The sequence below is a fragment of the Homo sapiens genome, chromosome 8 (assembly GCF_000001405.40).
Source record: "Homo sapiens chromosome 8, GRCh38.p14 Primary Assembly".
Classification (NCBI taxonomy): Eukaryota; Metazoa; Chordata; class Mammalia; order Primates; family Hominidae; genus Homo; species Homo sapiens.
In genome coordinates, this window is record NC_000008.11 from 9,705,181 (window position 1) to 9,721,474 (window position 16,294).

The following is a 16,294-nucleotide window of genomic DNA, read 5'->3' on the forward strand; positions in this document are numbered from 1 at the left end:
GGACATCTAAACTGAGAAAACCTAGAAGGTTGATGTGAGGGGATATGGGTGGTAACTAAAAAAGCAGTTATGTCATTTATTTTACCAGTAGGTCATTTTTGAAAACTTTGTATCAGTTTCCTGTAAAGTCTCCAGAGATATACGATCATTGGGTTTGCTGTCCTATGTGGTGGACTAACATTTCTCATTGCCCCACTTTAAGATCTGAAAGATAATTAACCCTACTACCCAGGTAAGGTAGATTATGTTACAGTCTTGTGACTGACAGCATAAAGAAGAGATGCCCTAGAGGAGAGTTTCTTTCACTTTGTCCCTCCCCAAGTCAAGAAACATAAAAATGAACTCAATGCTTGAGACACTTACCAGAAGAATTCTTCCATTTCCAATCTGCTTTTTCTGGTGCTGTTCTCTTGCCTGCACCAGGTTTTGTGCCATATGTGAATGGTGTCCCAGTAGTATAGGGGCATAAATGCCTGATGCTCTTGTACATCTCTATTTCCTTGTGCATGTCTGAAAACAGATGGGTGTACAATAGGTGAGTCATCAAGAGATGTACACCACAAAAAAAGGGTTTTTTTGGTTTATTTAGAATACTTTGATATGCAAGTTATAATAGTTTGGATATTTGATTATTTTGCTAGAAATTACCATTAAAGTGAATTAAAATGGTGGAATATTTCAGTTCACTACCAATTAACATTTATTTCTTGTAAATACTTAATATATAATGCATGCATTTGTCAATTAGCATATGATCTTCCTTTCGCCAAAATGTTCTTCTATTTGGTATTTTTTTCATTATCTTCAAGGATTATATACAAAAAACAAGATAAATACAAAAGGTGTGAACATAAGCTATGCTTTGAATTCTTTTATTATTTTATTAAATACTTTTAAATATTTTAAAATAATTGTATTGGGATTTATTGGATTTTATTTCTTAGTACGACATGGATAAATAAGTTGTTTGAAATTTAAGTATTTTAATTTGCCTCTTTTCATTTAGTGGACTTGTGCCTCTTCATAATGCATGTTCATATGGACATTATGAAGTCACAGAACTGCTACTAAAGGTAAGAGAAATTCAGAATATTGAGCATCATTTACTTTTTTTTTTTTTCTTTACCTTGTCATGACTTTCCATACTTTCGGCCTCATGAAAGTTTGTTTAGTTCTTTGGGGTTTTTTGTTTGTTTGTTTTGAGACAGGGTCTTGCCCTGTCACCCAGGCTGGAGTGCAGTGGCACATTCACAGCTCACTGCAGCCTCAACCTCCCAAGTTCAAGTGATCCTCCCCCTCAGCCTCCCCAGTAGCTGGGATTACAGGGGTGTGCCACCACGCACAGCTAATTTTTATGTTTTTTGTAGAGACGAGGTTTTGCCATGTTGCCCAGTCTTGTTTTTTTAGATTTTAAGAGAATAAAATACGTTTTTAAACATATTACCATTGCCTTAAAATTTTTAAAACATTGAATTTAATTTCAGCTGTTTTTGAAAGGTGATATTGAAGAAATTAAAACACTTATTTGAACAAGTTATAACTGAAATTTACAAAGAAATAAATGTCTTTTGAGTTTTATTTGATCCAGCAAAATGATTACTGACCTAAAATGTTTTTTTTCTCAATTCAGCATGGAGCTTGTGTTAATGCCATGGATCTCTGGCAGTTTACTCCACTGCACGAGGCTGCTTCCAAGAACCGTGTAGAAGTCTGCTCTTTGTTACTTAGCCATGGCGCTGATCCTACATTAGTCAACTGCCATGGCAAAAGTGCTGTGGATATGGCTCCAACTCCGGAGCTTAGGGAGAGATTGACTTGTACGTATTTATATCCCGAAATCATTATCGCATAAATTGGAATATTTAATTTCTGTTGAGTTTTATCTACCTTAAATAATAACCTTCCATTCTTACAAGCAGACTAATTCATAATCCTCATTTCTAATTGTATACTTTTCTTCATGAATTCCATGGGAATGTTATATACAGACACTTTTTGTATATATTGTATTTATTCGAGCCTAGTTTTAATTCGTATGTTGAAGCTCCTTTTTTGGTTTTTTGAAGGCTAATGAGGATGAGTCAATCAGCATCCATTTCTTGGATACTTGCAATGTGGCAGGCACTAGAAATATAGCAGTGTACAAACCATTAAAAAGCTCTGAGCTTCTGGGGCTTACATTCTTGTGCTATTGACAGTGATAGGTATCTAGCATTATTGAAACCTCTTATGGGCTTACGTTCTTGTGCCATTGACAGTGACAGGTATCTAGCATTATTGAGCCCTCCCCATTTCCCGAGCCCTGCAAGGCTGCACAATCATATTTTTATTTGTCATGTGTGTTATGACCCAAGTATAATCACTTTCCCATATTTAAGTGAGATTTTAAAAATAATTAGGTTGAGGTCATCTTCTGAATATATTACCAATATATACATGCAAATGTTTTTTAAATAAACTTTTTGTTTCAGCATAGTTAAAGATATAAAAATATTGGATTCTCATTCATGCAATTAATTTAGATACAGCTTTTCAAAAAATCTCTCACCTGGTTATGAAAATAATAAGCTATTAATTGTTCTTTGAAAAATTTTCAAGCTCTGCATTTCTCCCATATTTTAGTCCTTTCCTTTTCTGTGTCAAGACCTAATCACCATTGATATTTTGGTAAATATTTCTGTAAATGTTTTCTATACCATTACTTATGGTGTACTTATGGTGGCAATAGTAGTAGCAAGAGTAGTGACAATACCAAAAATAATGCATCAGCCTGTCCTTTCTTTTTTGAATTTTCATGTACCACTGTATACTTTCATGTCAGTGTATGTAGACCTATCTCTTGTTTAAGAGCTAGAAAGTGTTACAGCATATGTGCACACAAATTATTTAACTGGTTTCCTTTTGGTGGACATTTAGGTTTCCTGTTTCAAAATTTTGCTGCAATAAGTATCTTTATAGGTGTATCTTTATGACTCTGAGAGTGTGAAACAGTCTTATTTCAGAGCATACATACTTCACATTAATCTACATCCTCATCTTTTGCATTTTTATCATCATATTATCACATTGCTGCTGTTGTTAAAATAGAGAAATTCATAAAATAATAATATTCCTACTTATTTATAATCATGCTGAAGATTTTTATACATTTTTACATCTTTTTTTATGTCAACCATTGTTTCATTGACAGATGAATTTAAAGGTCATTCTTTACTACAAGCAGCCAGAGAAGCAGACTTAGCTAAAGTTAAAAAAACACTCGCTCTGGAAATCATTAATTTCAAACAACCGCAGTCTCATGAAACAGCACTGGTAAGATTTTATTGTTAATCTATTCCCTGTGTCTATAATAATAACGTAAGCACAAAATATGATTTTCATTTCAGAAACCTTAAAGTAACTTTAGTATCTGAAATGCCAGGAATTTGCATGTTAATTTTGGTTGCATTGATTTTTAAACTTAGTTTGGGGGGTGATTCTTTTCATGGGTGAGAGAATTGACATTTGCTCAACCTCAATTTGGAAATTATTTTACCTTTGTCTTCCCCACCTCATTATAACAAATCCACTTTTGTGGCCAGTGCTTTCATAAACTACAAGATATGATTTTTCAATAGAATTTTTTTTTCTTATGTTTGCTAGATAAATACTAGATTTCCTTCTGTAGAAGATTAAAGTATATTTTTAGATATTTGCATTATCTTTTTGAGCAATTGTATTCAAAGAACTGATTATATTCATGGTAGAAAAATGGCAAGATCATGAATTTTTTGTTTGATACTATACAAATTATTCTTAAAACTATCCACGTTTTTTTCTTCAAATGCACTTTCGGAAAGATTTATTTATTTTCTTTGTCATTGACACATTAAGGCTCAGCTAGAGAGTGGTTAGTGATCGCTCCTAAATTCAGAATTTAAGCATATGTGATGCCTGCATCACAGACCTTAAATATACCTAATTAATATTCTTACGTATATTTGACACAAAAGATCAAACGTTTGTCAGTATCTGCATAAAACAACATTAAAGGATTGACCAAACTGAAATAGGCTAACTATATGTACACTTAAATACATGTCTCTCAAACTAGGGTTGAGATAGATTCAAGCTACACGGTGTTATGCTAGGAGATATTCATAGCCACAGAATAAACCTGACCCACTTTTTTGGAGTTTTCATTTTATTTAGTTGAAAGTAGTTTTTTATTTTTAAATTTTAATACGAATATTAAAATGAAGCAGAATAAAAAAGTTGTATAAATATTATGTTAAAACCTAAAATTTCTGAGAATATTTTTCTCTAAACTGCTTCAGTTCTATCATTTTCTTGCTTATCCTTGGGCATATAAACGTCTCCTGTAGTGCTGGGAGTACCTCTGTAGAAGAGCTTAGAAATACTGACTTGTGTGGCTGATGGCCTAATGAAAGATTGAGTAACTTAGTTATAGATTTCTGTAGCGTTGCAGAGGCATACGTATTATGATGCTCTCCATGGAATATATAGTGAATATTTATTGATTGGCTAAGCCAAAAGAAATAAGATCTCTCTTAATGTTTAAGAGCATAATTTCACCTTGGTTTAAACGCTTACGTTTTGTATTTCCACTATACGTAGAAAGAATATGGATCATCTCTGTGATATAAAACATATACATATGTTCTGATACTCTGAGATAACAATGTTTTAAATGGTCAGCAGATACTGTTCAATTCCAAGAGCTACTGTACATATGGAAGTGTATTTTATTAACTTGGTTTTGTTTACTTTATAGCACTGTGCTGTGGCCTCTCTGCATCCCAAACGTAAACAAGTGACAGAATTGTTACTTAGAAAAGGAGCAAATGTTAATGAAAAAAATAAAGAGTAAGTATAATTGCAGAAGGAGTTGTTCAGTTCCTAAAGAGGAAATGCAATAAAAGAGAGACAATTACCTTTTCTTTCTTTCCTCTTTTCTGTAGTTTCATGACTCCCCTGCATGTTGCAGCCGAAAGAGCCCATAATGATGTCATGGAAGTTCTGCATAAGCATGGCGCCAAGGTGAGGCACACACCTGAGCAGAGTGCCAGACTCAGCACTGAGCAGCCAGCTGCTCTTAACACTGCTTCTCTCTCTCCGATTTTTCTGAAGAAACTAATTTTATAAAGGACTATTAGTTCGTACTTAAATTCATGGATTCTCCTATAAAGCTGATTTAGATCTTGTTTCTAATAAAAATAATTACCCGTGTTTCTTGATCCTTTAATGTCACCCTTCTGTAAAGCAACAAAATATAGCTATAGTCATTTGAAATAGATTTCATCTTTACATTACTTTCAGTTAATACTATACGGATATATTTTGATAGTGTCCACTTGAATAACAGTTTATCAGAAAATAAATTATGTTAAATGATAGCATCAGAATAGCTCTACTTATTCTAAAAAACATTTGTGGCCAGGCACAGTGGCTCACGCCTGTAATCCCAGCACTTTGGGAGGCCGAGGCAGGTGGATCACGAGGTCAGGAGATGGAGACCATCCTGGCTAAGACGGTGAAACCCCGTCTCTACTAAAAATACAAAAAATTAGCCGGGCGTGGTGGCGGGTGCCTGTAGTCCCAGCTACCCAGGAGGCTGAGGCAGGAGAATGGCATGAACCTGGGAGGCGAAGCTTGCAGTGAGCTGAGATTGCGCCACTACACTCCAGCCTGGGAGACAGAGTGAGAATCTGTCTCAAAAAAAAAAATTGTATGCCTTCAGATTTGTAATAATTTTCTCAACCTCTACACTAAAGAAATATGACATATTTAATAATTTTTACTGGCATTTTCTGAATGGTGTAGTCTGAAACTTTGTCAAGCACTTAAGAGAGGAAAGAAGCAAACTGGTTGTTTTTTAGAGGTGACTTGAAATTATAGATTTTTTCATTCTCAAGAATGTATATTTCAAAGCAGTTGTCTCCAAAGTAGGGTATAGACTCCCTATGGAGCATACAAGATGCCCTGTTGGAAAAATCCTAGCATTTCAATTTATAATACTTTTATTTAAGAATAAGGAAATTCAGATTTACCAATATTGAATACAAAGATGATGCCAGCACTCTCACTAGGTCCACGTGTCAGCCATTGTGACTCGTGATGTCAAGGTTTCCTGAGGTAAGAGTGGGACTTGTTAGTATCGAGGGATTGACAGTGGCAAACTCACTTGTTTGTTCCCTTTCAGCATATTTTGGCATAGTGTACTTTACTTGTGTCCAAATGAGTTGAATTTATGGATATTATCCTAAATGGTAGAACTTTTATAAATATCATACTTGATCAGAGTAGTGACCCTGACAAGGGACACAGGGAGTGACCCTGACATGCTTTTATAGTGTAAAAAGGTGGTCTGGTTATTTTGTGAAGTAGTATTTTAAGGTGTTGTCATAGTTGTGTTCTTTTTAATGAAAATAAAAGGGTTCAAAATTTGTTAATAGTTCTCTGAGGACAAATGACCATGACTTGCATGTAGATACCCTTTAAAAAGGAAACATAATCAGATCCTTAAAGGTAAAAGTTACACACTTTAGGTAAATGATAAAATAACTGCTTTTTTAAAAGAAACTTTAAAAAATGAAGAGAACGTTTTGAACATAGATTTTTAGAAAATGTTCACTTTTCTGTGATTTTGCTGAAAAATGATATAAATGAATCACCCAGCCGTCATATCTACATAATTTAAACACATAAAAACAGAATTTTCTCACCTGTTCAAAAGCCTTCCTTAATTTGGTTTTAGGGTAGATTTTGAATCTATTCAAAACATTGTAATGCAGCACTTCCTAATAACTTCGCAAGAACATCAGTAAAGATGGAATTTTACTACAGAATTTCAATGAAAGCCTTAGCATAATTAGTAAATTACATTAAAATTAGGCATTCTGATTGAGTAGGCATAGTTAACAATGCATTTATTTCATTGGCTCCATGAATCTGTATGAAATCTTTGCAACTAATATAGCCATTCAAACTAATTATCAAAAATGAACTTAGAGCCACGTGTAGTGGCCCGTAATCACTCCTGTAATCCCAGAGCTTTAGGAGGCAAAGGCAGAAGGATTGCTTGAGGCCAGGAGTTCGACACCAGCCTGGGCAACACAGCAAGACACTATCTCTACAAAAAATTTAAAAATTAGCCAGTCGTGGTGGTGTGCACCTATAGTCCTAGCGACTCGGGAGGCTGAGGCAGGAAGATCACTTGATCCCAGGAGTTTGAGGCTGCAGTGAGGTATGATCATACCACTGTACTGCAGCCTGGGCAACAGAGCAAGACTCTGTCTCTAAAGAAAAATGAAATGAACCTAAAATTAAACCCTCAAATTCCTAATATCACAATTTTTATAAGTTTTTTTAAATGTTTAAACTACAGTCAATGGATATTTTCTAGCATAAGTAATTAAAATATGTTTTGGACAGGTACCATAGCCTATGCCTTAATCCCAGCACTTTGGGAGACTGAGGTGGGAGGATCGCTTGAGCCCAGGATTTTGAGATCAGCTGGGCAACACAGGCCAACCCCGTCTCTACAAATAATAAAAAAAAATAGCCAGATGTGGTGGTGCATTCCTGTAGTCCCAGCTACTCGGGAGGCTGAGGTGGGAAAATCACTTGAGCCCAAGAGGTCGAGGCTGTAGTGAGCTGTAATCATGCCACTACACTGTAGCCTGGGTGACAGAGCAGTACTCTATCTCAGAAAATAATAATCATGAAATCTTTTTAAATTTTTAATTATTTCATCTCTTTCTCATCCTTCATAAATTCTCTTTGTGTAAGTTTTATAATAGTATAGCACTTCTTGGTTATAATTTACAAAGAAATTCATATATATATATTAAGTGTTCTCAAAACTTTTCTACCTGGAGGGTGTGTGATTTAAAAATTTGGATATCACTGCCTTAAAATGGCACTTTATGTTTTTAATTTATGAAATGAAGACAAAGTGGAATAAAAGGGAACAGAGTTCTACAGATGTATTACCTATTTTGTAGGTACAACTACTGCATTATTATATAAGTAGCATCTTGTTGCTCTTTCAAGCAGAAAACACTAAGCTAAGTGACATTTCTGCTACACTTAGGAGCTTTGTACATTTATCTTTGACCCGTTTTTGCAAATATCTAATGACATTTATAATGCTCTTGAAAAATTAGGAATAATGCCCTTCATTTTGGGAAAATAGTATCTATTTATTGTCTCCCATCAGGCATTTTAGTTTATAAAGGTTCAATGGAAAATAACATTATGACTTGTTCTAGTCAGCCTTTCTCTAGGTCTGTGGTTCTCACTCTTTATTTGCCCTTTATGTGCACAGTACATTTTCATCAGTAACATCTTAGTTCATTACTAGCCCTGTCAATGACTTAGAAGAACTTCTAGACTTTTGTGTTCATCCTAGTCTTTCCACTGTAGTTCATCTACATTGATAACGCTTGCTAGTAGGCACTTAAAAAAGAGGAGAGTTATATTTAATCAGAGTTATGAACCCATAGATATCAATTGCTATCAGTAGATATCAAATGCCGTAGCAACTCCTATTTACCCCATCCCAAGGCAGGATGCTGTTCCTCATGGTTGGTGTATCTGGTGATTAATGTGTTGTAAAAAACTCCCTGTAAGAAACTCACTTAGCTATTGTTGGGCTCCCATTTTTTCTTGCGTAGTATTTCTTTCTGAGGAACTCATGGTTTCTGTATGATTTTCAGGCAACTCATGGTTTCCATTTGATTCTGAACACACTTTCTGAACAAGCAGCACCAGTTTTTAATTAGGATTCAGCCCTCTTCCACTGCTTCTAGCACCCTGCTGCCTTCCCCTACTCTTGATGAATCAATTTCTCAGGCAAAGGCAGAAGAATTTGGGATGAAGACCTAATTATCATTAAGTAATTTGCCTTACTTTGACAGAACTTAGTGGTATTTTTATAAGCCAAAACATTCTTTTGCCCAAAACCTGGTAATACATACAAACTTGAGGTTTGCTGTTAATGTTAAACTAAATGTACGCCATATATAACCTAGACAGGCATGCTTTTGAGTTTAGAATCCTCCACTTTCTAGTTTTGTGACCTTGGGCTAAATTTCCCTGAGTCTCAGTTGACTAATCAGTGATATGTGAAGCAACCGCCCTACAGGCTTTTTTTTTTTTTAATCAAATGAGCATATGTATATAAATATGTAGTATAGTGCTTAACACACAGATAATGTTTTGGTTATTTGTGAATATGAGCCTTTTTTCCCACATTTGTCTTTTCAAATGTGTATGTACTATGTATTTCCCTTTAATTATCTAAATTTTATAAGACACATATCTAATCCCTTTATAATTGGGTTTGATCCACTAACTCCATAAATATTGGCATGCAAAATAATCAAGACTGTAGTAGATACTGTGGAAAATACCAGTTTGAAAGTTAATGCAGTTACCAAACTTGACCTCAGTCCTGAATCAATTTAGCAGCATTAGTAATGAAGAAGGAAGAGGAAGATAAAAGCCACTTATGAAGGAGTAATTATATTACCTGGAAATGAATTGGGTGTTAGAGTGGACTTAGAGAATGGTGGTGCAATTAATGGAAGTAAGAAAGCTACAGAGAAACACTGGTTTCCTACGCCTTGATAATGATTTTCTACTTGAAGTTGATATTACAGAAAGACATTTAATAAAACCAGCAGTTGGAAAGACAGCATCAGAGTATAAAAGAGTTTAAGATTAGAAAGATCTACTGAGAATTCACATAGTGATTCTACATTTTAGGAGCAAGTACGGTCCCTGGTAGAGAAAGCATGGAAAGAAGGGAGTTAAGGAAAGATCCTTTGAGGATTGCCCATGTTTATAGAGCGGTGGTGGGAAGAGAAAGCTGGAAGTTCTATCACAGTGTCTACAGAGTACAGGAGGAGTATGAAGAAGGAGCAGGTGACCAGTGCCACTGAGAGAAATCAAGGCAGACTGGGGCATTACTTAGACCGTTTTTATATGAGGGCTTTGGTAGTTTTTGAAGGAGAGATTCTAAGGAGATAGAAGCAGAGATATATCTCAGTTAGGGTCTTCGCAATAAATGGCACACTTAAAGTGGGTAATTTGATGAAAGTTTAATAAAGGAACTGTATAGAAACGTGGGCAAGGTTCAAGGAAAGTAGCAAGGAAAGAGGTTGTACTAGCAGCAGGGGGGGCGGGTATGATCATCTCTGGTCTGAAGGGACAAGGCAAAGGAGAGGTTCTTGGTGCTGGAAGATGGTAGCTGTATGGAAAAGGCCACCTGGTACCACCTGTAGCCTTTGATCAAAGGATGTATCTAATGTTACTCTTCATTGTCCTGCTGTCCTCTATCTCCTCCCAGTACCCCCCATCTCCTCCCAGTGCCCGTGACCAAATTCAACAAAACAGTGAAGACCAAAAGAGTCTGTTGATGTGGTTCATACAAGTGATTTTCTCAGGACCCAGAGCAAGGTGGAGGATGGCTGTGGCTCTAGAGGGGAATAAGGGCAATATTCAGCAAAAGATTAGAAAACAAATTGCTAGTAAGGAGAGTTACAAGAACATTGGAGCATTACCCAATTCATTTGAAAAATCCTCATTTACTAGGAGTAAACTTTTGTTCCTTAAAAAAAATCAATAATTTATTATCCCCTGCTTTTTGGGAGTACTATAAAGTCTAAATAGGAAAGACATGAAGACTTTATCCTTCATGTGGCAATTTTTTCTTTATTATGGTTAGTCTGCCCTGGCATTCTGCATTCTGTCAGTAATGAATTGTCTGCTCTCATTATTAAGAAAACTTACGCCCCAACTGCATATGGTATTCAAGAAGTTTAATTCATAAATGCATTTCTTCATATATAAAGCATAGCTATTTTGTCATTATGTGCATCTGTTAAATACGTGAAACATGAAGGAATTTTTTTGACAGTTCATATTCATATGTCTTAATTTGACAGATTTATTTACATTGTGTTTAAGAAGATATTGTGACATAATAATTGACATTTAATAGGCTTATTTCTCACATTTAGAAGCGATCACGAGTCTTTGCTCACTTGGGGAAATGTGTCAGCCCATTATAAGAGTTTTATTAATGCTTTTCTAGAGGTAGATTGATAAGTAGATTGTTAGCGCAAAGATGTTAAAGTACTTTTAAAGATACTATAGCTCTAAAGTATCTTTTACAGTGTAAATAATATCTGAGGTTTGATCATACCAAAATAAAGTCCAAAGGGGCAAGTGTCCCAGAGACATTTTAGTTCTCAGTAACAAACCAACTCAATCTAGATTAAACACAAATGGAAATATATTTTATACTAATATAAATGTATATTAATGCAAATGTGTTTATTACTTCTGTGAGAAACCCGTATGGTTATCTCCCAGAAATATGTGTAAGAATTGTAGCTGAGATTCACAAAAGACCAGAACAAGGAATTTAGAAACTATCAGGTACTTTGGCTGCCGTTCTCTATGTCTCTGCCTCCCTGCTTCCCTCTTTCCCCTCTTCTGTGTCTCCGTCGCTCCCTGTCTTTCTCTCTCTTTCTCTTTCTCTGAGGTTTCTTTTCTCTGCCAGTGTTTGTTCATCTGGTTCATTCTTCTTTCTGCAGACTGGATTTTTCTGTATTATTTCTCTATGGCCTAAATGTGGTCTTTTACAACCCATACTTTATGTGTCCTTGGCTTAGAAGTATACCACCTGCAGCTGATAGGGTCTGTCCCGTCTCTGGGATGAAAAAGGGAGAATTATAAATAAGAGTCGCTTGTTGAGTACGAGCATTCATTGGATTGGCACCCTCTAGTCTATAATCACTTTTGCTCAGTTTGTTATTTCTTAAGGCACGTGAGCAAGATTAGTACCCCTTGAAACCACCAAAGATAATCTGTTGTATTATAATATATATATATATATATATATATATATATTTTCAGGGAATTTGATTGTTTCTTTTAAATTTCCACAGGAATCTTTACAGATAGCACACTCAAGTTCAGCTAGCAAATAGAAATCCAGTTCCGTACTCTGTAGTGAGTTCACAACACATTAAAGGATTAAAAAACATTTCAAGTAAAATATTGATTACTATGTCAGTATTGTATTGAAAAATTGTGTTCATTTGTCTCTTTCATTCCTCATAGGAAGTGCTTTAACTATGCATACCACCAAGGATAATGATGAATACTTGTAAAACACCTGTAAAAACATTAGAATCAATTTAAATTATATTTTGATTACAGATAAAGCAAATTCATTTTCAATATTAAGCAATTCTATAAACACTGGCATTTACCCTTCTCCCTCAATTTCCAGGGAAAGAGGAATGCATTTTGGTTAGATAGCGAACATTTTAGTAGTTCCTAATGTTTGTTCAATATACAGAACAGTATGTCAAAAGTAGTATTTTTTATCACCAGAATTTATTAGTTTGTTGCTCTTGTGAGGCATTCACTTACCAACCATTTTCAAATATCTGTTTATACAAGGCATGGTACTTACTGCTGAGAGGATGTATAAAGTTTGAATTTGATCAAGATCCTTCTCTTAAGGAACTTAAAATCTAATTGTCTAACACAGTCTACTTGACTACTATATGAACTGGAAAGTAGTATATATAATAAGAGAAGTATAGATTGATTTATATTCAGAGGAATAAACAGTTATTTCTGTTGGTGGTGGCAGCCTGGGGAAGAGATTGGAGAAATCTCATGAAGAAAATAGAATTTCAGCTAGGAATGTTCAGGAATCAAATATATAGATATATACAGGCAAAATACAAACAATACATTTTCAGTAAGGACTGAAAATCAGGGAAGTAAAGGGGTTTGTTTGTTAAACTGTCAGAAGTTATTAGTTAGTCCAAAAGGTACAGAAAATGGAAACAATGAAAAGCAAGATCTTTGTATTGTCAATTGGAGAGTTTAAACTTTGTTCTCATAATACTTGGAGAACCTATCATTTGTTCTTCTATCATAGATATATTAATGCCTGTTAATTTTTTTAATTGTTGACTTTCAATTTGTTGTGGTTTGAGAAAAAAAATGCAGTGTCACTCTAGCTAAAGAGTACAGACTGTTTTCAACTCTCGGCTTACTTGAAATCAGCTTTTAGGTTGAGGCAAACACATGTTCACAGTTAAAGGTGTTAAGTACGGATGTCACAGAACAGTTTGTGATTAATTACCAAATGAGTGATGTAGACAATGATAGCTTTAAGTTTAGGAGAAGTGGCCTCAGGATTAGCTGTCTGAGACTAGGCTGTTCACACTGAGTAGAATATTGAAGGATTCCCCTCAGCCATTTCTTTGTGGTCTGCTTGCCGGTTTCCAGAACTGTTTTGGCATTTTTTGAATCATAATTTCATGTCCTAAATATTTCGGGCCAAGTGTCATTGTGATTTTATATAGTTTTACTGAGTTATTCATCTTCTGTAAAGTCATTTTTGCTGCTCAGTTAGAAATGAAAATACGTACACTAAGGTTGCAATCTCTAGATACAAGGAAAAGTGGGAATATGTTTTACCTCTAAAACTGCCAGACATCTATTATTCTGACTCCTGAATGGATAGGTCAAGCCAGTCTTAAGCATTTAATTACCACAGTTGAGGGGTAACATTAAATGTAGGAGTCTCTTTATTTGAGACAGTTTCTGTAACCTGGTGAAAATAATCACTTTAGTGCTGAATGTTAAGTATTTTTTAGTGACATCAAATCATGTTCCCATGCTTCAATAAGTTGGATTGGGAGTTCCCATTACTATAATAGAATAAGTTAGTATGTTTCTTACCCAGTTTCCAGAAAAATGTTAATGATTAGAATGTTCACAATTTTAGATTTTTCTTTTGTGCTGAAGAAGTAACAAAGAAATCAAAATTCAAGTTAGTTTGGTAGCTTGTGTTATCCATTGATACATGCTAATGGCTGTGCTTTTTTGTTGGTATGTATCAGCAGTCATTTTTCTTCTGGCAAATGTGATAGAGTTAAATATGTTACTATTTCATGGGAGTTTTGTGAAAGACCATCAAGAATTTGTATGAACCCTTTCCTGAGTAAGTACAACAGCCTTACTGGTAATGATAAAAGACTGGCGACAGGGAGACTAGTTGTCTTTTATCCTTTCTTTTCTTAATCTTGTATTTAGTGGGTGTACACAAATATTTTCAATAATCAACCAGCATATAATTGAGAATTTACTGTGTACCTTTAGCAGGAGCTTTCTAGAGGACCCAGAAAGTCTGTGTGTAACATGCACTCATATTCTCAATAACCTTAGTTTAACTCAATAAACAAAAATTACCCCAGTATTATATTTTATAAGACAGTAAAGTGCTAAATTGACATAGATGTTCAGAAAAGGAGTAATCAAAGTCTTCAAGAAATCAAGGAAGACTTCTTGGAGATGAGGAGACTTATCTACACTGGATCTCAGGAGCCATAAAGGCAGAAAGAAGGGTTTCTCTGAAAAGAGCAGCAAGCACAATGAACGTGGACTTGGGTCTGACTGGAGTAGAGGGTGCTGATTGGGATCTGCTGGAAGATAAGATGAGTCAGGTTTGACCAGATTAAGAACATGATGCCAGTGTTTCACATTGTCTTAAGCAGTCTCACAACTAGCTAAATGATTCTTCTTCCTGTGTATAATAACTCTTCAAAGCTTTAAAAAGGAATGTTTGAATCCTCAAATCTTTTTTTTGCTTAAATATGCTTGTAATTCAATTAAGATATTATAATTAGCTATATTACCTAAATTAGAAAAGAAATATAATCAACTACTTTGACAGTCTTTGCTTACATATGCTGTTGTCTTTATATTCTGGGGAAAAGTTTGGTAAAAATCCATTCATTCAGAAGAATTTGGTGAGCATCCTCATTGTGGCAAGCAGTAAATACCAGACCAGAGTTGCTGCCTCCATAGACCAGTCTAGTCGTCGAAGGGAGTAGCAGAAATGGGAAATGGTCAGGAAAATGGTCATTCCGGGAAGAAAGGGTATGTTGTAATTTTCAGTAAGGTGATCAGAGAAGGGTAACTAAAAAGAAGATAGTTCTTCAGAATCAGTGAGCAAAAGTTTATAATCAATATCTATGAGACTTTTTAAAAGCTTTGAAAGTTGATTTTTTTTTCATAAGAATGTATTTTCTAAGGTATAAAAGGAAACTAAACAAGATGCTCAATTCCATGTGCCCACGCAATGATTTTTCAGATGAATGCACTGGACACCCTTGGTCAGACTGCTTTGCATAGAGCCGCCCTAGCAGGTCACCTGCAGACCTGCCGCCTCCTGCTGAGTTACGGCTCTGACCCCTCCATCATCTCCTTACAAGGCTTCACAGCAGCACAGATGGGCAATGAAGCAGTGCAGCAGATTCTGAGTGGTGAGTTAAAATAGACCAACAGGGCATTTTATGTTTTCTCTTCCATCCCTGCTGAAATACACAGACAAACTTTGCAGTGTTTACTTTGCCTGAAGTTTTTCTCATGTCTTTTCTTGCAATTTAGCCTGTGGACTTCCCCATCTCCCTTTTTTGGTAGGGTAAGGTAGGTGTCATGGGAAGGAAGCAGATACAGCTTTTAGTTTTTTTAGGTTTAAATTGAAAACCTGACTCATGAGTGTTCTGATCAAAGGTGACTTAAAACTCATATAAACAGTGTGGAATTATGGTAGCTATAAAATCTATCAAATAGAGAAAATTATAAATCATTCATATGGTAATGACATTTAATTAATTGTTCCTACCTGTGTAAAATTCTGACATACTTTTAAAATTCTTAACTTCATTGCATTATTATAAAATTATCTTGTCTTTTTCTGGCTTAAATATAATTATAGGCCGGGCACAGTGGCTCACTCCTGTAATCCCAATACTTTGGGATGCCGAGGCAGGCAGATCACGAGGACAGGAGATCGAGACCATCTTGGCCAACATGGTGAAACCCTGTCTCTATTAAAAATACAAAAATTAGCTGGGCGGAGTGGCGCATGCCTTGTAGCCCCAGCTACTTGGGAGGCTGAGGCAAGGAGAATTGCTTGAACGCGGGAGGCGGAGGTTGCAGTGAGCCGAGATCACGCCACTGCACTCCAGCCTGGAGACAGAGTGAAACTCTGTCTCAAAAATAAATAAATAAATTATATATATATATAAAATTATAAAATTTTGCTGAATGTTTCATTGTCTGCCTGGTATAGTGTTAGATATTTTAAATATAAATTGATAAGAAAATAGATACTGGCTTCCTAAGTCCCAAAACTAGAGGAAGTAATGCAGTCTACCTACTGACAAAATGAACTAGAATCAAAAGTTTA

General features: G+C 35.3%; 1 protein-coding gene across 3 annotated transcripts in view, besides 1 other annotated feature; it reads left to right on the forward strand.

The window, feature by feature from the left end:
* Positions 1-16,294, forward strand: part of TNKS (tankyrase) — a 226,435-nt gene that overhangs the window by 149,269 nt on the left and 60,872 nt on the right. For all 3 annotated transcript variants that reach the window (NM_003747.3, XM_011543845.4, XM_011543846.4), the window contains exons 7-12: positions 1,007-1,073; positions 1,631-1,817; positions 3,191-3,312; positions 4,775-4,866; positions 4,962-5,040; positions 15,194-15,365. In NM_003747.3, coding sequence (NP_003738.2) covers positions 1,007-1,073; positions 1,631-1,817; positions 3,191-3,312; positions 4,775-4,866; positions 4,962-5,040; positions 15,194-15,365 — 719 coding nt within the window. The remainder of the gene's footprint in view (positions 1-1,006; positions 1,074-1,630; positions 1,818-3,190; positions 3,313-4,774; positions 4,867-4,961; positions 5,041-15,193; positions 15,366-16,294) is intronic.
* Positions 14,465-14,514: a silencer, noted in NCBI's record as "silent region_18908". NCBI's record gives its function as "represses an Ori minimal core promoter by ATAC-STARR-seq in GM12878 lymphoblastoid cells {active_cell/tissue: GM12878}" and the evidence as "EXISTENCE:reporter gene assay evidence [ECO:0000049][PMID:35858748]".